A 25087-nucleotide genomic window follows, 5' to 3' on the forward strand; every position below is an offset into this window, starting at 1 on the left:
AAAAAATATTTCCCACGGAACTGCGTTCATCACAGGTGTCTTCCGGTTTGGGGTCGCCATCCCGGCTTTGCCCTCACGTTCGTATCTCCATTAGCCCTGGGCCAGGGGCTTCTCCTGACAACTGCTTCCTTGGCCTCATGCTCCCAAACCCTTTCCTCCTGGGTCAGGCCTCCTCTCTGTAATTCTGCTCTTTCTGGAGTAGCTGCCCCTAGGTCTTTGGCCTCTCACCTGTCTGACCTCTGACCTCTGCTACCTGTGGCTCCCAGGTCCCCCTCAGCTCATGCTCCTCAGGGCCACAGCTGCACTCTATACCGTCCACTTCACCAGCCCAGCTGCCAATGGCTCCCTCTGCCCAGGGCATCAGTAGACAGGGCCCCAGCATCTGTCAGGCAGAGGGGGTCTCTGTCCTGCCTCACTGGGCCTGTCAGGTGGAGGGGGTCTCGGTCCTGCCTCACTGGGTTGTCAGGCAAAGGGGGTCTCTGTCCTGTCTCACTGGGGTTGTCAGGCGGAGGGAGTCTCAGTCCTGATTCTGGGTCTGTCAGGTGGAGGGGGTCTCTGTCCTGCCTCACTGGGCCTGTCAGGTGGAGGGGGTCTCTGTCCTGCCTCACTGGGCCTGTCAGGTGGAGGGGGTCTTGGGCCTGCCTCTGGGCCTGGCTGGAGCCTCCCTTTTCTGGAAGCCCCATCCCCCTGAGTCTCCCATGCCTCCAGCTCTGTGGGTTTCCACCTCCCTCACCGCTGCTCCTTCCCAGGCCTGGCTGCGTCCCTGAGTTTGGTCTCAGGCACCTTTCTCTCCTTCCTTGGCGGCCTCTTCGGTTAATTACCACCTTGATGCCAGCGAGTCCTGCCCAACTTCTCCCTTTAACTCTGACCTCTGACACTGAACTGTCCAAAGTCATCTCAAACTCAGTTCATCCTGCCCTGAATCCTGAGCCCTCCCCGCCCCAAGACGTCCCCATCTCAGCAACGGCTGCACACCCCCAAACTGCTCAAGGTAAAAGCCGAGGAATCACTCTCAGTCCTTCTCTCAGCAAGTCACTGATTTCAATTCCCTGACATCCCTGCCGGGCCCCCACTCCCCGACCCAGCCCCACAGGCCAGTGTAACCCCTTCCCCGTTTCCGTCACCCTCTGGAGCAGCCAGGGCCAGCTCCTAAAAGTGGGTCCGATCAGGTGACTCCCATCACACTGAGGACAGGACCCAATGTCTTCCCTGGAACTGCCTCTGTCCCCATCTCCACACCCACTCCCGTCCCCGTCATGTTCCCGAGATCGCTGCTGGCCTTTCTGTCCATGAACCTTGCAGTCTTGGGGCCTTTGCACAAGCGGTTCCCTCTGCGTGGAATGTTCTTTCCTCTACCTGCCCCCACCAGCTCCTCCCTGTCAGCCAGGTCTCAGCTTACACGTCACGTGTCTTTCCTGACCCGCCCCCATCGCTGCAACTGGCAGTGGCCAGCCAGCCACCCCTGTCGTGTCGGCCCATTTGGCTGTCCCCAGGGCCATGCCCACTTCCTGGCTGTGCATGGTTCGGTCTCTCCCCTCTGCGATGGGCTCCCTGGGAGCAGGCGCTGCATCCTCACTGCCCAGGAACGTGCTTGGCACACATGGGAGGAGCTTAGTATCTGTTGAACCAGTAGACCTCCTAGAAAGCTGACAGGGCCCGGGAATGACCACAGCAAAGCCTGGGAAGCCCCGTCTGTGGGTCAGGTGGAGGAGGCTGTACCTGGACCAACAGCTTGAGGCGTGTGATCCTCTGGAAAGGCAGGATGAGGAAGGAGGAGAAGGGCAGCCCCCTGCACTTGGGGTCGAGCTCTAGCTGCGCGATCAGCTCCCGGAAAGCTGCCTTCTCCTGGCTGGGGACACAGACAGGTGGAGTAGGTCTCTGAGCTGCAGGAGGCATGAACTGGAGACTCCTCCTCCCCATCCACAGCCTCCCAGGATCCAGACGACCCACGGGCTCAGAAAACATGTTGATTTCTTTCTTTGTTTTTTTTCAAAAGGAAAATAGACTGTTCACGTAAAAGTCAAATAACAATAGTGGCTTCACATGCCTGGCCTTGAAGACTTGGCACAATATGCTGCTGTGTGTGGGAGGATAAGGATTCCTTGTGTGGCCAAGTCTGTGAATCAGATGCACAATTAGATGATTTCACCCAGCGGGAAACTGTGGCAAGGTAAACCCACGTAGTGACAGGAACGGGCAGCAGGCTAGAGACACCACCAGGACAGCCTGCACTATTTCTGACAGGTGGGCTCAGCGGTGGGCTGGGCCACAGCGCTGATGAGGGCTGGGAGAGCTGGAGGTGAGCTCGGCCCCATGCATGTCAGCAGGGATGGCAGGGACGGCAGGGACAGCAGGGACAGCAGGGACGGCAGGGACAGGTGCTCAGCCTGTCACTCAGCCTCTGTGCTCACACGGCCTGGCGGGGGCCACAGCGGCAGGCTCTTGGGTGCTGTGAATGATTCCTAATCTGCCACATGCTTGCCTTCTCAATGTTTATCCTCAAAAATTGCATCCTCATTCCCTCCAATTCCAATTTTCCTTCACCAACTGTTAAAACATCCAAATGCCCAAAGACTCAGGCTTGAAACGTGCACCATGAACTCCATGTCTTGGTGGAAAAGCCAGTGAGGCGCAATGTGCAGACGCCACAACTGGAAAACTCCCTGGGTGCTTCTGTGCGGAGCCAAGACGGCCTCCCTGGCTAACCCCAGGCACTGAAGTGCGAACCTCAGTGCGCAGAATTCAGAAGAGGCACGCTGGCTGGAAAATTACCTTGTCAACTAAACCTCAGAGAAAGTTTACAAAATGGGCAGATTAGCAATCAATGCCCCGGCGCTGCTGGAGGAGCCCCACCGAGGCTCCTTCCCATCCTGTCCCTGCCCTTGTCGCTAGTTCAAGCCCCGTCTCTGATGTCCTGGGCTTTGAATTGTCCACATGACCTCACTTGACCTCAAGCTCTCTTTTCTAACTGCACAGTGCTCTGCTCAGCCATTGGATCCAGGTCCAGTGGATGCTACGCTGATTCTCTTGGGGTCTGGCTGGGCTAATGTTTCTCTAGTGACACCAATACACCCTAGAACGTGCTGGGTTGGGACACTGTCACCAGTATCCCTGGCCAACTCCGGTGGCTCATGTGGACCTTGGGAACGCAGAGGTAAAGGACCATGAAGTGTCACCGTGTAAGGAGCCTGGGCCAGCACTGGTATGGCTGCCCCGGGCACCTCCCCCTGCCCCTGAGCCCCTTGCCGGATACACTCACAGCAGCTGCTTATAGGTCCGCTCCTGGTAGGTCTGATTGCTGACGTAGGTGATGTAGACAGAGAAGTGGTCGGCCGCATAACGGTACACAATGTCACACACGTCAGAGATGACGATGTTCTCCTCCATCCGGTGCTCCAGCTCCAGGAGGAACCTACGAGAGGCAGCGGCTTGAGGCGGAGGGTGCCCGGGGGGTAGGGTGGGGAATTGTCTCACCAAGGGCAGCATGCGAGCCTGACTTGGACATTGGACATAGCAGTGTGCACGGTGAGCGTACAGGCCGACAAGATCCATCGGCAGGGGCACCGAGCACTGGTGGTGTATTTGGTCATCTTGAAGAATGACTGTGTTTTCACGGGGCTGATGGTGCTGGGAGCACCAAGAGACCTTATCTTTCAGGTATGTGCTGATGTGTTTGAGGATAAAATAGATGACCATGGGGATCTGCTTCAGAAGGGTCCCCTGGGGGGTAGGGACTGGCCCCTGGGCTGACCACTGCTGACGCTGGTGAGCAGCGCACATGGACATCTACCTCTGCATGTTTGGAATTTTCCACAGTAAAATACAAATACATAAGACAGAAGTGCCGTGGCAGGGCCAGGCGCAGTGGCTCACGCCTGTAATCCCAGCACTTTGGGAGGCCGAGGCGGGCGGATCACCTGAGGTCAGGAGTTCGAGACCAGCCTGGCCAACATGGTGAAACCCTGTCTCTACTAAAAATACAAAAAATTAGCCGAGTGTGGTGGTGGACGCCTGTAATCCCAGCTACTCGGGAGGTTGAGGCAGGAGAATCGCTCGAACCCAGGAGGCGGAGGTTGCCATGAGTTGAGATCGCACCATTGCACTACAGCCTGGGCAAAAAGAGTGAAACTCTGTCTCAAAAAAAATAAAAAAGAAGTGCCGCAGCAGAAGCCCAGGGGTCTCACAGGCCACTCTGGCCCCAGTCAGCCATCACCTCCCAAACCCACCAGAAGGCGCTGCCACGAAGGGGTGAGGGGGCTGCAAACAGAAGTGAGAGTGTCAGTGTGGAGGAGAGACCCACTTGGAGGCCCACAGAGAGTGAGCAGCTCCCAGGGTGCCACATGTGATGCTGAGCGGATCCCCACTGCTCAGAGCGGGGCTGCGCCGGGCCCCACCTTGGTTTCCCATCTGATCACCAGGCACTGTCCCAGCTGAGCCCCATGTGGCTTCTGGCTGCAAAACTCCATGGCCTGCCCTGGGGATGGTAAGTGCTCTTTCATCCTGGCCACATGATTTGGTTCCTTTCCTTTTCAAAGGATTCAATGGGCAGATGTCTGTCTACTCTTCCTCCGCTGCAGCTCGGCCCAGGCTTCACACAGTCCCTGCTGGAAGCACAGCTCCCAGAGCTGTGGAAAACGCACTCAGGAGGTGAGGATGTGGGAATCCAGGGCTGCACCCTGCACAGGGCCTGAGGCCCTGCATGCGCCACTGGGGCTTTCTGCTAGGGTAAGGAGCAGCTTACATGGACACCTTCTGTCCCTGTCACAAGACTCCCGTGGACCTGCCTGGTTTAAACCTGTCCAACCACCGGTTTGATGCATGAGAGAGCTGGACTCAGCGTCACTCCAACCTGGGGCCAGCAGGATGCTCAGCGCAGAGCTTTGTGTGGGGCACAGGTGCTCATGGGAAGGGACGCCGGGGGACGTGACTGGCCACCCTGCCAGAAGGGGTGGTGAGGTTTGGATTTAGTTCTTCATTTATTTATATTTTATTATGGAACATTCCAAACATCTGGAAGTAGAGAAGCCAGTATCGAGCACTTGTCATCAGTGTCTCAAGCATGTGCCCTGGGGATGAAGAAGGGCCCTGAGGGAGGTGGCTGTCCCCCCCGTCCTCACCGCTCACTGACAGCCAGCACGTCCAGGACGTTGGAGAAGAGGATGTGCGCCTCGGACGGGTGCAGGATCTTCCTTATCCGCTCGTTCTCCATGAAGTGGGACACGAGCAGGTTCAGACTCTTGTAGTAGGACGCCTCGGAAGTGACCAGCTCGAACATGGCCTGTAGCAGGGAGACCCCATGGTTACCGCCTGAAGTTGGCCTTCCACGAAGGCGCTAGCCTTGGCTGAGACAGAGGAGCAGAGGGAGGCTCAGCAGGGAGTTGAAAGGGAAAAATCGCCTGCTCCTGGGGCCTGGGATGGCTGCTGCAGGGGCAGCTGGTAACACCTGCGGCCGGGAATGGTAGTGAGGCCACTCTTCCTAGGGAGCACACTACCCCTAAGGTGACAGGGCACGGAGGCTACTCCCTGTGAGAGAACACTTACCATACTGACAACTGGAGATAGCCTAAGATCCAAAATATGAAACAAGACAAAAACGAGAGAGGTCAGGCTGGGCGTGGTGACTCACTCTTGTAATCCCAGCACTTTAGGAGGCCGAGGCGGGCAGATCACTTGAGGTCAGGAGTTCAAGACCACCCTGGCCAACATGGTAAAACCCTGTCTCTACTAAAAATACAAAACTTAGCTGGGTGTGGTAGCACATGCCTGTAATCCTAGCTGCTTGGGAGGCTGAGGCATGAGAATCACTTGAACCTGGGAGGCAGAGGTTGCAGTGAGCCCAGATCACGCCACTGCACTCCAGCCTGGGTGACAGAGTGAGACTCTGTCTTAAAAAAAAAAAAAAAAGGTCAGCCACACACCTGAGCCCGCACAGCTGCCAAGGGTGGCTTGGCCCATGCTCTGGGTGTGCTAGTGGGTGCGAAAGTCAGCAGGTGGGAGGAATCCTGTTCCTCCACGCCCAGCAGAAAAGCGTCAGGGGAAACCGGCCAGTGTCAAGCACGAGTGTCACGGGTGGAATCTGGGGGGATGTTTACCTTTTTACCTTTTGAATCGCCTGATAATTTAACAATGAACATATATCATGGTCTGATTTTATAATGGAACCAATAAGGTGATTTTCATTTTGGAAGAGAGAAAGAAATCCATAACCTGATCAATTTTCTGGAGGTGCCTTTATTCGATGTCATGATTATCACCTGATTGCTGAGCCTCTGAATAGCTGACTAGGATCTAACAGCAGTTCTGCATCTCATGGGTCATTCTGTAAGGGCAGGTGGCAGATCCCGGCTCACCTTCCTCCCTTGTTTACAAATCAACCCAATGACCCACCTTCCTCTTCCCCGTCACCCTCTGATACTTAGGGCGGGTTCAGGTCCCACAGTCGCTTCCCAGGAGGGACAGCAGAGTGGGTTGAACTGTGGCCCCCACAGAAGCTACATCCATGTCCTAACCCCAGCACCTGTGAATGGGACCTTATTTGGGAAAAGGGTCTGTGCAGACATAATTGAGTCAAGGAGCTCAAGATGAGATCATCCTGGGTTAAGGTTGGCCCCAAACCAATAATGGGTGTCTTTATAAAAGAGGCCAAGGGAGATTTAATAATGTGACACAGACACACAGAGAAGGCACAGACAGAGATGGGACTGATACAGCCACCAGCAGTTGGAGTTGGCCAGAAGGATCCTCTGCAGAGCTGTCAGAGGGAGCACAGCCTGCCCAGGCTGTGGGAGAATCAATCCTGTGATCCTCTGCCACCCAGTTTCTGGTAATTTGTTATGGCCACAGAGGAGGGGTGGAAACAGAGCAGTGAGGAGCCTGGGGTAAGGGTGAGGGTGGGGGTGAGGGTAGGGGTGAGGGTGGGGTAGGGGTGAGGGTGAAGGTAGGGGTGAGGGTGAGGGTAGGGGTGTGAGGGTAAGGTTGGGGTTGAGGGTAGGAGTGGGGGTGAGGGTAGGGGTTGGGGTGGGGGTAGGGGTGGGGGTGGGGGTAGGGATGGGGGTGGGGGTAGGGGTGGGGGTAGGGGTGAGTGCAAAAGTAGGGGTGAGGGTGAAGGTAGGGGTGAGGGTGAGGTTAGGGGCGTGGGTGAAGGTAGGGGTGAGGGTGAAGGTAGGGGTGAGGGTAGGGGTAAGGGTGAGGGTAGGGTTGAGGGTGGGGGTGAGGGTGACGGTGGGTATAGGGGTGAGGGTGTGGGTAGGTGTGAGGGTGGGGGTAAGGGTAAAGGTAGGGATGAGGTGAGGGTAGGGGTGAGGGTGAGGGTACAGGTGAGGATGGGGGTAGTGGTGGGGTTAAGGGTGAGGTAGGGGTGCGGGTGAGGGTAGGGGCGAGTGTGGGGGTAGGAGTGGGGGTGAGGTTAGGGGTAAGGGTGGGAGTAGGGGTGGGGTGAGGGGTGAGGGTTGGGATGGGGTGGGGGAAGGGGTGAGGGTAGGGATGGGGTAGGGGGTGGAGGTGGGGGTCTGGCCCCTTCCCCAGGGTCCTGCCCATCCCCTGCCTCACTCCTTTTAGGGCCGCCCTCCGGTTTCTCCACTCATCAGAGCCCTGACCCAGGGCCCAGGGCTTTGGCATGAAAGCAGGAGCTCCAGGGTTAGAGGCATTTGTTCCCAGAACACAGTGGGCCCTGGAGTGGTGGGGTTTTGCAGGCTGTTTCACTTAATCCTCCCAGGTCCCCCAGAAAGGACAGACAGAAGCTCCCATTTTACCAAAAGGAAACAGACACAGAGAAGTGAAGTTGCATCCAGAAAGTCACATGGCTGGATGCTGGAGGAGTGGAGATGCTGCCACCTCCCAGGTAGCGCAGGGGTTTGCTGGGCATTTGATGCCCGCCTGCAGGAGCTCTCACTGCTGCTTCCCTGCAAAGCTCTGCCCACCCACCCACCTGGCAGAGCACTCTAAAATAAGGGACGAATCTGGAAGCTGGGAACACCCCACAGAGAGTTCACATTGATGTCACTCCAGGGCCAGCGGCCAACTGCAGACCCCGAACCACCATCAGTAGCCAGGGCCCACCCGGCCCCCAGTGTCTGCACCTCACTTGAGACAGTGACAGTCAGAGATGAGACGCTGAAATGAGCCTGTGGCCTCTCCGTGGCCATCCCCACGTCGCATCTGCCTCATCTACCTAAAAAGCAGCCACAGCAAGCACACAGCAGCACCTCACTTGAGACAGCGACGGTCAGAGACGAGACGCTGAAATGAGCCTGTGGCCTCTCCGTGGCCATCCCCACGTCGCATCTGCCTCATCTACCTAAAAAGCAGCCACAGCAAGCACACAGCAGCGGGCCTCACAGCAGCAGACCTGCAGCCCAGCGCTGACTGGCAGCAGACCCCGAGTCGGCCAGTGTCCACCGACACAAAAGTGAGGCTATGACGGGCAGCCAGTTTCCCAGAAGCTTCTCAGCTACAGATGCTGTTATGAATTCATTTTCCTGCTGCTAAATTTAAGTTTCCTAAGAAAATGTGAAGCAGTTACAGCTCACAAGTTCCAAGCAAACATAACTCACAAAACTGATACGAATGATACCAAGGGGAAAACCCCCATGCCCACAGCGCCACATCACAGAAAAGCATGCCATTAAACCACATGGCCCTGAAGGATGCCTGCTAGAGACACCTGGGATGACACCCTGGCTCTGGATCACCCGGATCTTCTGGCCGACAGCATCTCTGTCCTGATCTTCAGGGCCAGGGGAAATGGCAGGTAGGGCCTTTCAGCTGTGGGCCTTGGCCTGAATCCCTGCTAATCGGTATGGCTGAGGCTCATTCCCCAGAACTCTCACCCCTCCTCATCCATTTACAGGCAACGTCACCTGTGAATTTTAGCTTCCAGGATGTTTGTCTTCATTTTGTATGTCAAATTGTTTGTCATGTCGATATGGCTATCTTTTCCTTATCGATATTACTTTTGCTCTCATTTAAGCCTCTACATGGCAGCATAGAGCTGACGAGGGATCCAGGCTCTGCTCGCTCTTCATTCATTCACTCGTTCGTTCCTTCGTTCCACAAATGCTCACTGAGCATCTGCTGAGCACCAGGCACTGGTCTAGGCACTGGGCACTCGGCTGTGAACACAGCAAGACTGGCTTCCCATGGCACTTTCGTCCCAGGGTAGTGGAAGGAAGTGTGAGCCTGTGAGGGCGAGTGGGAATGAGTGTATGTGTGCATAGACATACGCGAGTCAGGGTGTGAGCATTAAGGAATGAGAGTGCATGTGTGGGAAATTGTGGGTGAATGTGTATATGGGTGTGGCTGTGAGAGCATGTAAGTGAATGTGTGTGTGAATGCATGTGTGTGTGTGAATGTGAGTGTGAATGGGTGTATGTGTGTTAACATGTGTGAGTGAATATGAGGGTGGGTGTGGATGTGTGGATGTGTGTGTAAATGCATTGTGTGTGAATGTGTAAATGAGTATGTATGAAGGTGGGTGTGAATGTGTGCATGTGTGTGAAAGAGTATGAGAGTGTGTGACAGTGGGTGAATGTGTATGAAGGTGAGTGTGAATGTGTGTGAATGAGAGTATGTGACTGTGTGTGTGAATGTGTGCATATGAGGGGGGCGTGTGAACGTACGTGTCACTACAGAAGCTCCTCCTCAGGGAATGCGCATGTAGCCTGGACCCGGCTGTCTGAATCTCTGCTTGGTCTGGGAATGGCGCTCTCAGCTCTGTTGCTATCTGCCAGTATTCACGTCACACTTCCTGGCTTTCCTAAGCCCATTCCTGGCCTGGATTCCTTGTGAAGATTCAACTCCGGTCCAGCCTGGGCTTTCTTCAGGCTCCTCTTTTGTGATCTCTTGCTGATGGGTCAGGGGTCTCCTTTGGTTTTCACACACATGCTCTCACAGTCACTCATATACATGTTCACTCACATTCACTTACACACATGCTCTCACAGTCACTCATATACACGTTCACTCACATTCACTCACACACACATGCTCTCACAGTCACTCATATACACGTTCACTCACATTCACTCACACATGCTCTCACAGTCACTCATACACACATTCACTCACACACGCTCTCAGTCACTCATATACACGTTCACTCACATTCACTTACACACGTGCTCTCACAGTCACTCATATACACGTTCACTCACATTCACTCACACACACGCTCTCAGTCACTCATATACACGTTCACTCACATTCACTCACACACACACGCTCTCACAGTCACTCATATACACGTTCACTCACATTCACACACATGCTCTCACAGTCACTCATATACACGTTCACTCACATTCACTTACACACATGCTCTCACAGTCACTCATATACACATTCACTCATTCACTCACACACGCTCTCACAGTCACTCATATACACGTTCACTCACATTCACTCACACACACACGCTCTCACAGTCACTCATATACACGTTCACTCACATTCACTTAGACACATGCTCTCAGTCACTCATATACACGTTCACTCACATTCTCACACACACACGCTCACAGTCACTCATATACACGTTCACTCACATTCACACACACGCTCTCACAGTCACTCATATACACGTTCACTCACATTCACACACACACGCTCTCAGTCACTCATATACACGTTCACTCACATTCACACACACACGCTCTCAGTCACTCATATACACGTTCACTCACATTCACTCACACACGCTCTCACAGTCACTCATACACGTTCACTCACATTCACTTACACACACACGCTCTCACAGTCACTCATATACACGTTCACTCACATTCACTTACATGCTCTCACAGTCACTCATATACACGTTCACTCACATTCACTCACACACACGCTCTCACAGTCACTCATATACACGTTCACTCACATTCACTTAGACACATGCTCTCACAGTCACTCATATACACGTTCACTCACATTCACTCACACACACGCTCTCACAGTCACTCATATACACGTTCACTCACATACACACACGCTCTCACAGTCACTCATATACACGTTCACTCACATTCACTCACACACACACGCTCTCAGTCACTCATATACACGTTCACTCACATTCACACACACGCTCTCAGTCACTCATATACACGTTCACTCACATTCACTCACACACACACGCTCTCACACTCATGCACACATTCACTCACACACACACATGCTCTCACACAATCACCCACAGAGGCACTGGGAGCCACGCTGCCCGTGGGGCCAGGACCAGGACCTGAAGCCAGGTGAGCAGGCCCCCTCTCAGGCAGCGCGGGCCACGGGGCTGCTCTGGGGTGGTGACGTCCGGCGGCCTCAGATCAGCCAGGTCCCGGAGTTAGGGCCGCCTACACCACCCTGTTCAAGTCACACATTTGAAAAACAAAAGAGACCCATCAGCAAGAGGTCACAAAAGAGGAACCAGGACACCAAGAAAAGTCTGCAGGAAGCCAACCTGCTCCTGATGGAGAAAGGCGGAAGCTTTACCAGCTCTAACACCCAAAGAGCGACGGGCTTTTACGCAGCCCGCGGGCCCCAATTCCCTGTTACTTAAGGCAGTTCAGCTTGTCCTGCAGTTCACGGTCAAACATGGGCCATGCTGCCTGGCCGGCCGGGACTACAGTGTCTGTCCTCGGAGTCCCACTCCTGCCTCCGCACTCGGATCAACCCTGCGTTCCCCACCCTCAGCAAAGCTCGAGGCTGCGCGATTTCTCCTCCCCGCTCTTTACCTACACGGTCTCCTTATGATCCAGGGTTCGCCGTGGACCTCTGGGCCGTGCATTCCAGCCTGATTTGGGTTGTTTTTTTGGCTTCTCCCGACCCCTGTGTTAACAAATCACTGCTGTCTCTGATGCTGTGACCTTCGATGCGTTGTTGCAGCTGCGTCACCAGGGTGACATCTGCGGGGGTCGGAGCCAAAGGCCAGCAGACCGTGGACTGAAGGGCGGGCTCACTGGCTGCCCTCCACCTTCCTCACGGCCAGGAAACAAAACGTAGCCCCTTCCCCACAAGGGTTCTGCGAGGTCCCTTCCCATCCACCCGTGTGCCAGGCCCTCCCCACACAGGTCACCCCCAGTCCTGGGCATCAGGGCACTGGCCTGGAGCCCAACTTAGTTCACTGGCTTTTGCCTGGAGGGAGGGAGGGGATGAAGAGAAGGCCAGGCAGAATGCCAAGGGTCTAAGGCGTCCTTCCGGGACTCCCTTAGAGGCTGTGGGGACGTCGCCGTGACACCTCAGCACAGGCCCTACCATCCAGGCTCCGTGTCTCCAGTATGCTGCTGGGAGCTATCAGGGCCACCTGGGCCGCTGAAGACCCGGCCTCAGTCTGTCCTCGGCAGGGCAGTGGCTGGGGTGTGTGTGGTACGGGGATCACCATGGCCCACTCCTCTCTCTCCTCTAGCAGCTGGGGCCAGAGCCAGAGCCAGGGGCGCAGGGCGCTCCCAAGCTCTCCACTCTCTGCTCCTGCCCCACAGAGTCCTCTTGCTGCAGCCGCCCTGGGGTGATTCACATCCTCTGTTCCCCAGGATGACTCAACAGCAAGGTCACAAAGTTGCCTCGGTGCCTGCTGCTGGTGCAGTCATTTACACTGCAGGCATCAGGATGCACGGAAGTGACTTTAAAAGGCTTCCAGTTAAGAAGAAACCCCTCAAAGGCTATCCTCCTTCTGCAGACAATGATGATGAAGTCGGACTCCAGAGCCAGAGCCCGAGCCCAGCCCGCTGCAGCGCAGTCTTTAGTGAATTCGAGGCCGGACTGAGCAGGTCCCGTGAGCAGCGTGGGGAGTGGGGGCTTGGCTGTCTGATGGGGGAGTGACAGCTAACCCCTTGGGTTGCTAAGGGACGAGGGGAGTCACATATTCAACGCAGCCATGGGATGCAGGCGCTGGGGGCCCAAACCCAAGCCTCGGCACTCACACACATCACAAATGCCAATTACTACGTTTTCTCAAGATGACCTGTTAATAAAATCATTCGCAAAAATGTTTACATGCTAAAATAAGTGTGTGTAAATTTAAAAAGACACATGCTTGAGAACATGTTCAGCCTGCCTCATGGCAAGAGAAATGTTATGTTAAAACCACAACGAGGCCGGGTGCGGTGGCTCACACCTGTAATCCCAATACTTTGGGAGGCCCAGGCGGGTGGATCACCTGAGGCCAGGAGTTCGATGGCCAACATGGTGAAACCCCGTCTCTACTAAAAATACAAAAGATTAGCCAGGCATGGTGGCCGGTGTCTGTAATCCCAGCTACTTGGGAGGCTCAGGTGGAAGAATCACTTGAACCTGGGAGGTGGAGGTTGCAGTGAGCTGAGATCGCGCCACTGCACTCCAGCATAAGTGACAGAGTGAGACTGTCTTAAAACAAAACAAAAACAAAACAAAACAAAAAATGTTTAATCTAGCACACTGGGTAAAGAGAAAATAGCTGGGTAAGGCACCACATTAGTGGCAGGGGACCAGCACACTCATATGTGGCTAGTGTGTGAAGGCAATTAGGCGATACCCTCTCAAAATTTAAAGAACATTTAACCTTTCACCCAACAATCCCACTTAGCAATTCCCTTAGCATTCCACTGTGTAGATGTTCAATCTTCCATGAGTATAAATAATGCTGCAATGAACACTCTCAGTACCCGGTATTTCCAACTGCAAATATCCATCAACAGGGACAGGTTAAATACATTATGGAACATCTAAACAGTGGAGCCCAGAAAACTGCAAAAATGAGGGTGCTCTATTTGGATGGAGATGGAAAGATATGGTCAGTATTTTAATACTAGTTTACATTTGTGTGACATGAGGGCACACACACACACACACACACACACCTGAATATGTGTCTGACGAGGGAACTGGGTGGCCCAGGACAGGAGTGGGAGAAAGACTTTCACTGAGAGTCCTTTTGCACCTTTTGAACTTCCTGTCAGGTGCATACATTTTTTAACCAAAAGATAAATTTAAAAAAATGCTACCTGCCTACTTTGCTACTTTGTTAAAACAGGTATTGGTATTTGCTTTCTAACGCCTAGCTGACGTTTTAGGTAATGGCCACGTCCACCTCAAAGCATCAAGAAAAACTCCCTGCCGTCTCCCACTGTAGGACTCATCTGCTGAATTGTTGAGGGTTTAATCTAAACAGAAAAATATATAATTCAGTAACAGTTGGTAAATTAAAGAATGATCACAATGTAATTTTTTGGATAGAGGTCCATCATATTAAAATCCTAAGTAATTTCTTTCTAAAATGCACAATTTTCTTTTGGGAGTGGGGAAAGTAAACACGCTTAAGTTGTGAAACAGGCTGGAAAACAACAAAAATACAACTCTGTATGTCAGAGGCTGTACAGATGCAGACTGAGCTGCATCGCAACTTACAGCTGTAAAAATTACAGTCCAGGCAACACAGCAAGACCCAGCATCTACCGAAAGAAAAGACAATTCGCCGCCCTGTGGTTAGGCTGCATCAGGTGACCACAGGGCCCCTTGCTTCTCGCTCCCCAGCAGGACAAAGCCATTAGTCCTGTCTGGGCATGGGGGGACCGAGCCACACCCCACAGCCTGGGCAGGCTGTGCATATATGAGTGTGTGTCCCTGCTCCCCTGGAGAGCCTCACATCATTCCAGCTCCACGCCCAGCCCACCAAGACCAGGGACCGTGGCAAGTCCATCTTTCTCTAGCTCTGCCTCCTGGGTTCAAGTGATTCTCCTGCCTCAGCCTCCCGAGTAGCTGGAACTACAGGCATGTGCCACCATGGCAGGCTAATTTTTGTATTTTTAGTAGAGACAAGGTTTCAGCATGTTGGCCAGGCTGGTCTCGAACTCCTGACCTCAGGTGATCCACCTGCTTTGGTCTCCCAAAGTGCTGGGAGTACAGGCGTGAGCCACCACACCCAGCCCCTTCCCAACCTTTTAATTTGAATCTATGCCTAATTATTTCCTCCAATTGTTGGGTTCTCAAACAGTAACTAAAACACTATCCCAGAAGGGTGGGACCAAGTGCTTCAGGACAAATTAAAAAACAAAAACTGAGGCCTAGCATGGTGGCTCACACCTATAATCCCAGCACTTTGGGAGGCTGAGGCAGGAGGATTGCTTGAGCCCAGGAGTTGGAGAATAGCCCAGGCGAAACAGCAAGACCCCATCTCTTCAAAAAATTTTTAAAGATTAGCCTGGAGTGGTGGTGCACACCTGTAGTTGCAGCTACTTGAGAGGCTGAGGCAGGACAGCTTGAGCCCAGGAGTTCAAGGCTTCAGTGAGCTGTGATCGCACCACTGCACTCCCGCCTGGGCCACAGAGTGAGACCTTGTCTCTAAATAAAAAAACAAACAAAAACAACAAACTATTAATAAGCTGAGAAAGTCCTATGCAGGAACTCTTTCCCATTTCAGCTAGATAATTTTTACTTTAAAAGGAGGAAAACAGCTCTCTCCTCTCTCCTCTCCCCTCTCCCCTCTCCCCTCTCTCTCCTCTCACCTCTCACCTCTCCTCTCCCCTTTCCACGGTCTCCCTCTCATGCCGAGCCAAAGCTGGACTGTCCTGCTGCCATCTCGGCTCACTGCAACCTCCCTGCCTGATTGTCCTGCCTCAGCCTGCCGAGTGCCTGCGATTGCAGGCGCGCGCCGCCACGCCTGACTGGTTTTCGTATTTTTTTGGTGGAAACGGGGTTTCGCTGTGTTGGCCGGGCTGGTCTCCAGCTCCTAACCGCGAGTGATCCGCCAGCCTCGGCCTCCCGAGGTGCCAGGATTGCAGACGGAGTCTCGTTAACTCAGTGCTCAATGGTGCCCAGGCTGGAGTGCAGTGGCGTGATCTCGGCTCGCTACAACCTCCACCTCCCAGCCGCCTGTCTTGGCCCCCCAAAGTGCGGAGATTGCAGCCTCTGCCGGTCCGCCACCCCGTCTGGGAAGTGAGGAGCGTCTCTGCCTGGCCGCCCATCGTCTGGGACGTGAGGAGCCCCTCTGCCTGGCTGCCCAGTCTGGAAAGTGAGGAGCGTCTCTGCCCGGCCGCCATCCCACCTGGGAAGTGAGGAGCGCCTCTTCCCGGCCGCCATCCCATCTAGGAAGTGAAGAGCATCTCCGCCCGGCCGCCCATCGTCTGAGATGTGGGGAGCGCCTCTGCCCCACCGCCCTGTCTGGGATGTGAGGAGACCCTCCGCCTGGCAGCCGCCCCGTCTGAGAAGTGAGGAGCCCCTCCGCCCGGCTGCCACCCCGTCTGGGAAGTGAGGAGCGTCTCCGTCCGGCAGCCGCCCCGTCCGGGAGGGAGGTGGGGGGGTCAGCCCCCCGCCCGGCCAGCCGCCCCGTCCGGGAGGTGAGGGGCACCTCTGCCTGGCCGCCCCTACTGGGAAGTGAGGAGCCCCTCTGCCCGGCCAGCCGCCCCGTCCGGGAGGGAGGTGGGGGGGTCAGCCCCCCGCCCGGCCAGCCGCCCCGTCCGGGAGGGAGGTGAGGGGGTCAGCCCCCCGCCTGGTCAGCCGTCCCGTCTGGGAGGGAGGTGGGGGTCTCAGCCCCCCGCCCGGCCACCCGCCCCGTCCGGGAGGGAGGTGGGGGGGTCAGCCCCCCGCCTGGCCAGCCGCCCCGTCCGGGAAGGAGGTGGGGGGGGGTCAGCCCCCCGCCCGGCCAGCCGCCCCATCCGGGAGGTGAGGGGCGCCTCTGCCCGGCAGCCCCTACTGGGAAGTGAGGAGCCCCTCTGCCCGGCCACCACCCCGTGTGGGAGGGAGGTGGGGGGGGTCAGCCCCCCGCCCGGCCAGCCGCCCCGTCCGGGAGGGAGGTGGGGGGGTCAGCCCCCCGCCCGGTCAGCCACCCCGTCTGGGAGGTGAGGGGCACCTCCCTCCGGCCACCCCTACTGGGAAGTGAGGAGCCCCTCTGCCCGGCCACCACCCCGTGTGGGAGGGAGGTGGGGGGGTCAGCCCCCCGCCCGGTCAGCCGCCCCGTCCGGGAGGTGAGGGGCACCTCCCTCCGGCCACCCCTACTGGGAAGTGAGGAGCCCCTCTGCCCGGCCACCCCTACTGGGAAGTGAGGAGCCCCTCTGCCCGGCCACCACCCCATCTGGGAGGTGTACCCAACAGCTCATTGAGAACGGGCCATGATGACAATGGCGGTTTTGTGGAATAGAAAAGGGGGCAAGGTGGGGAAAAGATTGAGAAATCGGATGGTTGCGGTGTCTGTGTAGAAAGTAGTAGACATGGGAGACTTTTCATTTTGTTCTGTACTAAGAAAAATTCTTCTGCCTTGGGATCCTGTTGATCTATGACCTTACCCCCAACCCAGTGCTCTCTGAAACATGTGCTGTGTCCACTCAGGGTTAAATGGATTAAGGGCGGTGCAAGATGTGCTTTGTTAAACAGATGCTTGAAGGCAGCATGCTCGTTAAGAGTCATCACCACTCCCTAATCTCAAGTACCCAGGGACACAAACACTCTGCCTAGGAAAACCGGAGACCTTTGTTCACTTGTTTGTCTGCTGACCTTCCCTCCACTATTGTCCTATGACCCTGCCAAATCCCCCTCTGCGAGAAACACCCAAGAATGATCAATTAAAAAAAAAAAAAAGAAAAGAAAAAAAAGAAAAAAAAAAAAAAAGGAGGAAAACATACTATAGCATTTTGTTCTGAAATCCTGGCTCCCCTGTGACTGATTAAGCCTACCAAAAGGCCATCATTATAGGGTGTTTTCCTTGTGTGAACAGTAATTCAGCACGACCTGCTGCTTTTGTAGCTAAAGAAAAAGAGAGTTCCTGACAACAGATTGTACTGGCAGTCCAAGTTGCCTGTCTTGCTTTGATAAATAGACTGAAAAAAAGATCTGATACAGAAGTCACTGATTTGGAACATGCAATCTGAAGATCCCGGTTTTGTGTCGGTTACCAGATATTAACAAAAGGGAAGCACATGAAGGTCTTTAACATAAAAAGACGATAAAAAATCAGAGTGACACACTGAAGCCTGCGTGCTCACATTATTCAACTACGAAATGTAACTGGATTGCACATCAGTTAGGTCAGCCTCATTTATTTTTAAAAATCTACATCTGATTCACTGGAATTTGCAAACATGCATAAAAGAAAGTAAAAAAAAAATCTTTATTTTCTATGCCTTCTCAGTATAGATGAAATGTTCTATTTTGCTTTTTTAAAAACTTTATATATCTTGAACATTCACGTTACTCATTTTTTAAAAACATGTTTTTAAATGTTTGCATCTTTGGGCCGGGCACGGTGGCTCACACCTGTAATCCCCGCACTTTGGGAGGCCGAGGCAGGGACAACACCTGAGGTCAAGAGTTCGACACCAGCTTGGCCAACATGGTAAAATTCCATCTCTACCAAAAATATAAAAAATTAGCCAGGTGTTGTGGTGGGTGCTTGTAATCCCAGCTACTCAGGAGGCTGAGGCAGGAGAATTGCTCGAACCCAGGAGGTGGAGGCTTCAGTGAGCCGAGATCGTACCACTGCACTCCAGCCTGGGAGACAGAGTGAGACTCTGTCACAAAAAAAATAAAAAATAAAACAAATAAAATGTTTGCGTCTTTAAACAGCTGTATATTGTCTTACTAAACAATTTCCCTGCCATTGGGCATATAAGTTTCTTCTCCCTATTCTTCCCCTAACTTTTTGCTGGGATGAACATGCTAATAAATAAATATTTGTGTACATGTCTGATTATTTTGCAAGATAAATTTCTAGAAATAGAAGCACTAGAAAGTATACAAATATATTATTACTGGGGTTTTGATACAAATATACTCTTCTTATCAGCTGTGTTTGAAAGTGCTCATTTAGAGTCCCTCAACACTAGGTTTTAAATATATATATTTAAAAGTCTCTTGTCATTTTGAGAAGCAGAAGATGGTACCTCAATGCTGCTTGTTTATACGTTTATGATTTTAGTGAGTTTGATTTTTTTTCTTTTTTCATGTAGTCATTGGCCATTTGTATTAAAATTTTATTCATTTATTTATTTTTGCGGAGATAGGGTCTTGCGATGTTGCCCAGGCTGGTCTTCAACTCCTGGGCTAAAACCACTCCTCCTACCTCAGCCTCCCAAAGTGCTGGGATTATAGGCATGAGCCACCATACTCTGCATCATTTGTACTTTTTTTGCTTTTGTTGCTGTTTTTTTGGTTTTTTGTTTTTTTTTTCATTGCCAGGACGTATTCTCATCTGACCCATTTGTACTTTTAAAATGTGAATTGCTTTGCCCAGTTTTCTTTGGGGTGCTCATGTTTTTCTTATTGACAGCTTTCTAATTGACTGAAATCTGGGTTTTGCTGACATACATGAAAACAACTAATTTTTGCATGTTTATCTTACAACCAGCCACCTCCGGGAACTGCCTTATCACGTCCAGTGTTTTTATTTGATTCTCTCGGGTTTTTTAAGTAGGAAACCGTAACTGGTAGATAACGGTAGATAAAGACATTCCTTCTTTCTGGCTTTCTCTCCTACTCCTTTCCTCATCTTATTACCCTGGATAGAGCTTCCAGGGCAACACTGAATCGTGTTAGCAGGCACTGTGTCTTGCCTTTATTGCCACCAACAGTTTTTTATTATGTATGATTTTGTTATAAATTTGAAATTTTCTTTATAAATCTCAAAAAAGTATCCCTTTGAGTTTTATCTAGATGGTAATAGTGTACTCCTTTCTTTTCCATCCTCTTTGAAGATCCGTGTATTTTTCTCCTCTGGCCTAGCAGTATGAAATTTTGGCCCCAAACATCTAAATATTAAACTATCTTTGCATTAATTCATCCTTGCTTAATGTATATGATTCATTTAATCTATCTCCAGATTTGATGTGCTTATGTTTTATGTAATTTTTTTTTACCTTAATTCACGGTGAGACAGATCTGCGTTTTAATATTTTTTGGAGGGGGTAACACTTATTTTGTTAGGTCAAACACAATAAAATGGAAGATATTCAATCATTTTGATGTTTTACTGCATAATAAAATTATCATGCAGTAAAAAGTGGACTTTTGGGGAGTGTACAGTTCTATGAATTCTAACGTATCTGCAGGTTCGTGTAACCCACAATATAATCAGGATGCTCAACAGTTCCAACACTGCCCACAACCCCCTCAGCCATCCCGTCTCCCCACGCTCCCCCCACACCTAACCCTTGGGCAACCATCCCATCTTGCCATGCTCCCCGCATCCTTCACCCCTGGAAACCACTCTTTGCCAATGAGATCTGTTTTCTGCCACTAGTGTGGTCTCTTTCAGAATGTCATAGAAATGGAACGACACAGTATGTAACCCTTCTTTTTTCTTTCACTCAACAAGATGCCTTTGAGAAACATCGATGCTGTCGCATATCAATAGTTTCTTCCTTTTTATTGCATGGTACACACCACCATATGGATGTACTGGTTTATTTTCTATTATCTGTTGAAGGACCTTTGGCTTGTTTCCAGTCTTTGGTGATTCCCAACCAGGAGCAATTTTGGTCTCCAGGGGACATTCAGCTGGGTTTAGAGACAATTTTGCTTGTCATGATTGGGGGGAGGGTTGCATCTAGTGGGTAGTGGCCAACGATGCTGCTAGACCAATGGTCTCCAGTTTTTTTAGCATTAGGGACTGGTTTTGTGAAAGACAATTCTTCCACAGACCAGGGGTGGGAGGGGGGTGGATGAAACTGTTCTACCTCAGATCATCAGGTATTAGATTTTCATAAGGTGCAATTAGAGTCTCACAAGGAGCGCACAACCTAGATCCCTCGCATGTGCAGTTCACAGTAGGGTTCTCACTCCTATGAGAAATACAGCTGTAAATATAGATCAAGCTTTGGTTGCTTACCCGCCACTCACCTCCTGCTGCATGGCGAGGTGGGGGGTGGGGGGGGTAATGGGGGTGGGGGTTGGGGACCCCTGTGCTAGACATCCTGTGATGCACAAGGCAGCCCCTGCAACAAAGAATTGTCCAGCCCCAAAGTCAACAGCGCCACTGATGAGACACTGCTACGGGGCGGGGCTGCTGGGTAGTACCATAAGTGCACGTTTAACTTGGTAAGAAACCACTAGCTCTCAGAGTGGTGCACCATTTTGTGACCTCACCAGCCATGTAGGAGAGTTTTAGCAATGTTTGCTGTGTGTGCACACCAGCACTTGGGACTGCCATGATTTTAAAGCTTTTTTAAGCAAGTGTGTATTACTTTCTTGCCTTCTGTATATCTGCTTTGGTGAAGTATCTATTTAAGTCTTTTGACCATTTTTAAATTGGACTGTTGTTTTTTTACTGTTGAGTTTTGAGTTCTATTGTGTATTCCGGATGCAAGTCCTTTATCAGTTAAGTAATTTGCAAATATTTCCTCCCCATCTGTAGCTTCTCTTTTCATTCTCTTAACTGTGTCTTTTGCAGAGCAGAAGTTTTAAACTCTGATCAAGACCAACTGATCCATTTTTTTGTTTATGCATGATTGGTTTTGGTGTTGTATCTGAGAACTCTTTGCTAACCTCAGGTAATGAAGGTTTTCTCCTATGTTTTCCTCTAAAAGTTTTAAAGTTTTTCATTTTACATTTAGATCCATGATCCATTTTGAGTTAATTTTTGTTATGAGGCATGAGGTTTAGGTTGAGGTTAATGTTTTTGCATATATATATCCAATGGTTCCAGCATCAATGTTCAATATTTGTTGAAAAGACTGTCCTTTTTCCATTAATTTGCTTTTGTTGTTTTGCCAAATATCAATCAACCATACTTGTTGTGGGTTTATTTCTGAATTTTCTTTTCTGTTCCACTGATCTATGTGTCTGTAATTTCATGAATACCCCCACTGCCTTGATTACTGTAAACTTTTTAGTTGTCTTAAAATCAGATAGTATGACTCCTCCAGCTTTATTATTTTTGAAAACTGTTCAGGGCTATTCTAGTTATCTTGCCTTTTCTGATAAATTTTAGGATAATTTTGTCTATGACCACAGAAAATGCTGGGATTTTGACTGGAGTCGCATGGAATGTATAGATAAATATGGGAAGAGAATTAACATCTTTACTATATTGAATCTTTCAATCCATAAACAGTTTGTCTCTTGATTTATTTACATTTTATTTGATTTCTCTCCTCACTGATTTGTGGTTTTCAGCACAGAGATCCTGTCCATGTTTTGTTAGATTTATACCTAACTATTTCATTTTCAGGGCAGCTATTGTAAATGGTATAATTTTAATTTGTTTCTAATTGTTCATTGCTAGAATATAGTGATATGACTGATATTTGTGTGTTGGCCTTGTATCTGGCAACCTTGCTAAAAATCACTATTAGTTCTAAGAGGTTTTTTTGGTAGATTCTTTGGGATGTTTCAAGTAAACATGTCATCTGTGAATGGGGCAGTTTTACTTATTCCTTTCTAATCTATATGCCTTTTATTTCTTTTTCTTGCCTTATTGCACTGGCTAGGATTTTCACAATGATGTTGAATAGGAATGGGAGCAGTGAAGGAACAGACAGCCTTCCCTTGTTCCTAATCTTAGGGGAAAAGCATTCAGTCCTTCACCATTAAGTATGATGTTTGCTATAGGTTTTTGGTAGATGTGCCTTATCAGGTCCAGGAGTTTCCCTTGTATTCCTCCTTTGCTGAAAATTTTAATGATGACTGAATACTGAATTTTGTCAAATGCTTTTCGTGCATCAATTGTTGTAGTAACCATGCAGTTTTTTTTTCTTGTTTAGACTGTTAATATGGTGGGTTACATTGACTGATTTTCAAATATTTAACTAACCTTGCATTCCCAGGATGAACTCCACTCAGTCATGCCATATTGCTCTTTTTATACATTGCTGGATTTGAATTGCTAATATTTCTTACTGAGAATTTAAAAATATACATTCATGAGGAATATTGGTCTGTAGTTTACTATTCTTATACTGTCTTTCTCTGATTTTTCTATCAGGTGATGCTGGCCTTATAAAAAGTTGGGAAGCATTCCTTCTTCTATATTTTGGAAAAGAATGGGGAAAATTGATACTATTTTCTACTTTAAATGGTTGGTACAATTCACCATTGTAAACTTATGGGCCTACAGATGGCATATTTTGAAAGATTTTATGTAAGAGATTAATTTCTTTAACAGTCACAAGACTATTCAGGTTATTTATTTCATTTGGGGTGAGTTTTGGTAGCTTTCAGTTTGGGGCACTGGTCTATTTCATTTAAGTTGTCAAATGTATGTGTGTAGAATTGTTCATAATATTTCCTTATTACCCTTTAAATGTCTCTAGGATTCATCATGTCTCCTTTTTTGTTTCTGATATTGGTCATTTATATCTTCTCTTTTTTTGTCAATCTTGATAGAGATTTATTAATTTTATTAATCTTTTCAAAGAATTCAATTTTGGTTTCACTGATTTTCTCTATATTTTAAAAAATTTCCCATGTTGTTGATTCTTGCTCTCACATGTATTACTTCTTTCCTTCCACTTGCTTTGGTTTTGCTCTTTTCCTAGCCCAGTTTCTTAATATGAAAGCTTAGGCTATTGTTTTGAAAGCTATCTGCTTTCTTAAATAAACATAATGCTATAAATCTCCTTCGAAACACTGCTTTTGCTGCATCCCACTTGGTATGCTGCGGATTCATTTTCAGTCACTTCAAAATATTTATAACTCTCCTTGCAACTTCCTCCTTGACCCAGGGATTATTGAGAAGTGTGTTAATTTCCAAGTGTTTGGAGATTTTCTGTTATCTTTGTTACCGATTTCTAGTGTAATTCCATTAGGGTCAGAGAACATACTTTCTATGACTTCAATTCTTTTCAGTGTGTTAAGGAGAGTTATGCTTTACCTTGGTGACAGCTCTTTTTGCACTTGAAAACAATGTGTAATCTGCTACTGTTGGGTAGAGTGTTCTAGGAATGTTTATTAGTTCCTTTGGGTTGATGGTGGCCGATTCTTCCATAACCTTACAGATGTTATGTCTCCCAGTTCTACTGATTACTGACAGAACAGTGTCCTTGACTGTATATTGACTATATTTATATATACAGACTCTTCTATTATTATTGTGGATTAAAATAATTTTGTAGCCGGGCGCGGTGACTCACACCTGTAATCCCAGCACTTTGGGAGGCCTGAGGCAGGTGATCACGAGATCAGGAGATTGAGATCATCCTGGCTAACACAGTGAAACCATGTCTCCACTAAAAACACAAAAAATTAGCTGGGCGTGGTGGCACGTGCCTGTAATCCCAGTTACTCGGGAGGCTGAGGCAGGAGAATCACTTGAACCTGGGAGGCAGAGGTTGCAGTGAGCCGAGATCCTGCCACTGCACTCCAGCCTGGGCAACAGAGTGAGACTCCATCTCAAAAAATAAAAGTAAAATAAAATAAAATAATTTTGTGTTTGTACCCTAATTTTCAGATTTGGTTATCAATATTATACTGTGTTCAGATAATTTGTGTATTTCTCTCTTTTCCATGCTTTAGACTAGGGGTCAGCAAACTACAGCCCATGGGCTGGCCACTTGTATTTGTAAATAAAGTTTTACTGGAACACAGCCACACTCATTCCTTTACACAGTGTCTATAGCTGCTGTCACACCACAACGACAGAGCTGGGTAGTTCTGACAGACAGTATGGTCTACAAAGCCTAACACATTTATTATCTGGCCCTTTAACAGAAAGTTTGATGATCTCTGCTCTAGACTTACGCTGATCAACACAGTAGCAACATGTGGCTAAACTGATGTTTGTTTAAACCAGGTGGAATTAAACATTCAGTTTCTTAGTTGCACTGACCAGTTTCAAATGCTCGGTAGCCACACGGAGCTAGTGACTATTGGAGACATGATGTAGAACATTCCATCATTGCCAGGCATGGTGCCTCACACCTGTCTCAGCACTTTGGGAGGCTGAGGCAGGGAGATCACTTGAGCTCAGGAGCTTGAGACCAGCCTGGCCATCATGGTGAAACCCTATCTCTACCAAAAATAGAAAAATTAGCCTTGTGTAGTGGTGTACACCTGTAGTCTCAGCCACTTGGGAGGCTGAGGCACGAGAATTGCTTGAACCCAGGAGGCTAAGGTTACAGCGAACCAAGATTGTGCCACTGCACTCCAGCCTGGGTGACAGAGTGAGACTGTCTCAAAAAATATAATAATAAAATACAAA

The 25087-nt window shown here is 50.0% G+C and overlaps 1 protein-coding gene across 6 annotated transcripts in view, besides 8 other annotated features; it reads right to left on the reverse strand.

Moving 5' to 3' along the window:
• Nucleotides 1–25087, reverse strand: part of NGEF (neuronal guanine nucleotide exchange factor) — a 134556-nt gene that overhangs the window by 10938 nt on the left and 98531 nt on the right. For 4 of the 6 annotated variants that reach the window (NM_019850.3, XM_011510923.4, XM_047443880.1 and 1 more), the window contains 3 exons: nucleotides 5118–5278; nucleotides 3260–3412; nucleotides 1720–1849 (listed from right to left, as the gene is read on the reverse strand). In NM_019850.3, the coding sequence (NP_062824.2) occupies nucleotides 1720–1849; nucleotides 3260–3412; nucleotides 5118–5278 (444 nt within the window). Of the gene's footprint in view, nucleotides 1–1719; nucleotides 1850–3259; nucleotides 3413–5117; nucleotides 5279–11723; nucleotides 11910–25087 lie in introns of those variants that run through there. The other 2 variants (XM_011510924.2, XM_011510925.2) reach the window with 2 other exon arrangements.
• Nucleotides 1636–2245: an enhancer, noted in NCBI's record as "H3K4me1 hESC enhancer chr2:233755984-233756593 (GRCh37/hg19 assembly coordinates)". NCBI's record gives its function as "activates a minimal SCP1, AML or CMV promoter by ChIP-STARR-seq in naive H9 embryonic stem cells {active_cell/tissue: H9 hESC(naive)}" and the evidence as "EXISTENCE:reporter gene assay evidence [ECO:0000049][PMID:30033119]".
• Nucleotides 2246–2854: an enhancer, noted in NCBI's record as "H3K4me1 hESC enhancer chr2:233756594-233757202 (GRCh37/hg19 assembly coordinates)". NCBI's record gives its function as "activates a minimal SCP1, AML or CMV promoter by ChIP-STARR-seq in naive H9 embryonic stem cells {active_cell/tissue: H9 hESC(naive)}" and the evidence as "EXISTENCE:reporter gene assay evidence [ECO:0000049][PMID:30033119]".
• Nucleotides 10771–11396: an enhancer, noted in NCBI's record as "NANOG-H3K27ac-H3K4me1 hESC enhancer chr2:233765119-233765744 (GRCh37/hg19 assembly coordinates)". NCBI's record gives its function as "activates a minimal SCP1, AML or CMV promoter by ChIP-STARR-seq in primed H9 embryonic stem cells {active_cell/tissue: H9 hESC(primed)}" and the evidence as "EXISTENCE:reporter gene assay evidence [ECO:0000049][PMID:30033119]".
• Nucleotides 11397–12020: an enhancer, noted in NCBI's record as "NANOG-H3K27ac-H3K4me1 hESC enhancer chr2:233765745-233766368 (GRCh37/hg19 assembly coordinates)". NCBI's record gives its function as "activates a minimal SCP1, AML or CMV promoter by ChIP-STARR-seq in primed H9 embryonic stem cells {active_cell/tissue: H9 hESC(primed)}" and the evidence as "EXISTENCE:reporter gene assay evidence [ECO:0000049][PMID:30033119]".
• Nucleotides 11397–13101: a biological region, named in NCBI's record as "MED14-independent group 3 enhancer GRCh37_chr2:233766250-233767449".
• Nucleotides 11902–13101: an enhancer, noted in NCBI's record as "MED14-independent group 3 enhancer chr2:233766250-233767449 (GRCh37/hg19 assembly coordinates)". NCBI's record gives its function as "activates an origin of replication core promoter dependent on BRD2, BRD4, P300/CBP and CDK7 cofactors, and independent of MED14, by STARR-seq in HCT116 cells {active_cell/tissue: HCT116}" and the evidence as "EXISTENCE:reporter gene assay evidence [ECO:0000049][PMID:35650434]".
• Nucleotides 15064–15709: an enhancer, noted in NCBI's record as "H3K27ac hESC enhancer chr2:233769412-233770057 (GRCh37/hg19 assembly coordinates)". NCBI's record gives its function as "activates a minimal SCP1, AML or CMV promoter by ChIP-STARR-seq in naive H9 embryonic stem cells {active_cell/tissue: H9 hESC(naive)}" and the evidence as "EXISTENCE:reporter gene assay evidence [ECO:0000049][PMID:30033119]".
• Nucleotides 15710–16354: an enhancer, noted in NCBI's record as "H3K27ac-H3K4me1 hESC enhancer chr2:233770058-233770702 (GRCh37/hg19 assembly coordinates)". NCBI's record gives its function as "activates a minimal SCP1, AML or CMV promoter by ChIP-STARR-seq in naive H9 embryonic stem cells {active_cell/tissue: H9 hESC(naive)}" and the evidence as "EXISTENCE:reporter gene assay evidence [ECO:0000049][PMID:30033119]".

Source organism: Homo sapiens, chromosome 2 (assembly GCF_000001405.40).
Source record: "Homo sapiens chromosome 2, GRCh38.p14 Primary Assembly".
NCBI lineage: Eukaryota > Metazoa > Chordata > Mammalia > Primates > Hominidae > Homo > Homo sapiens.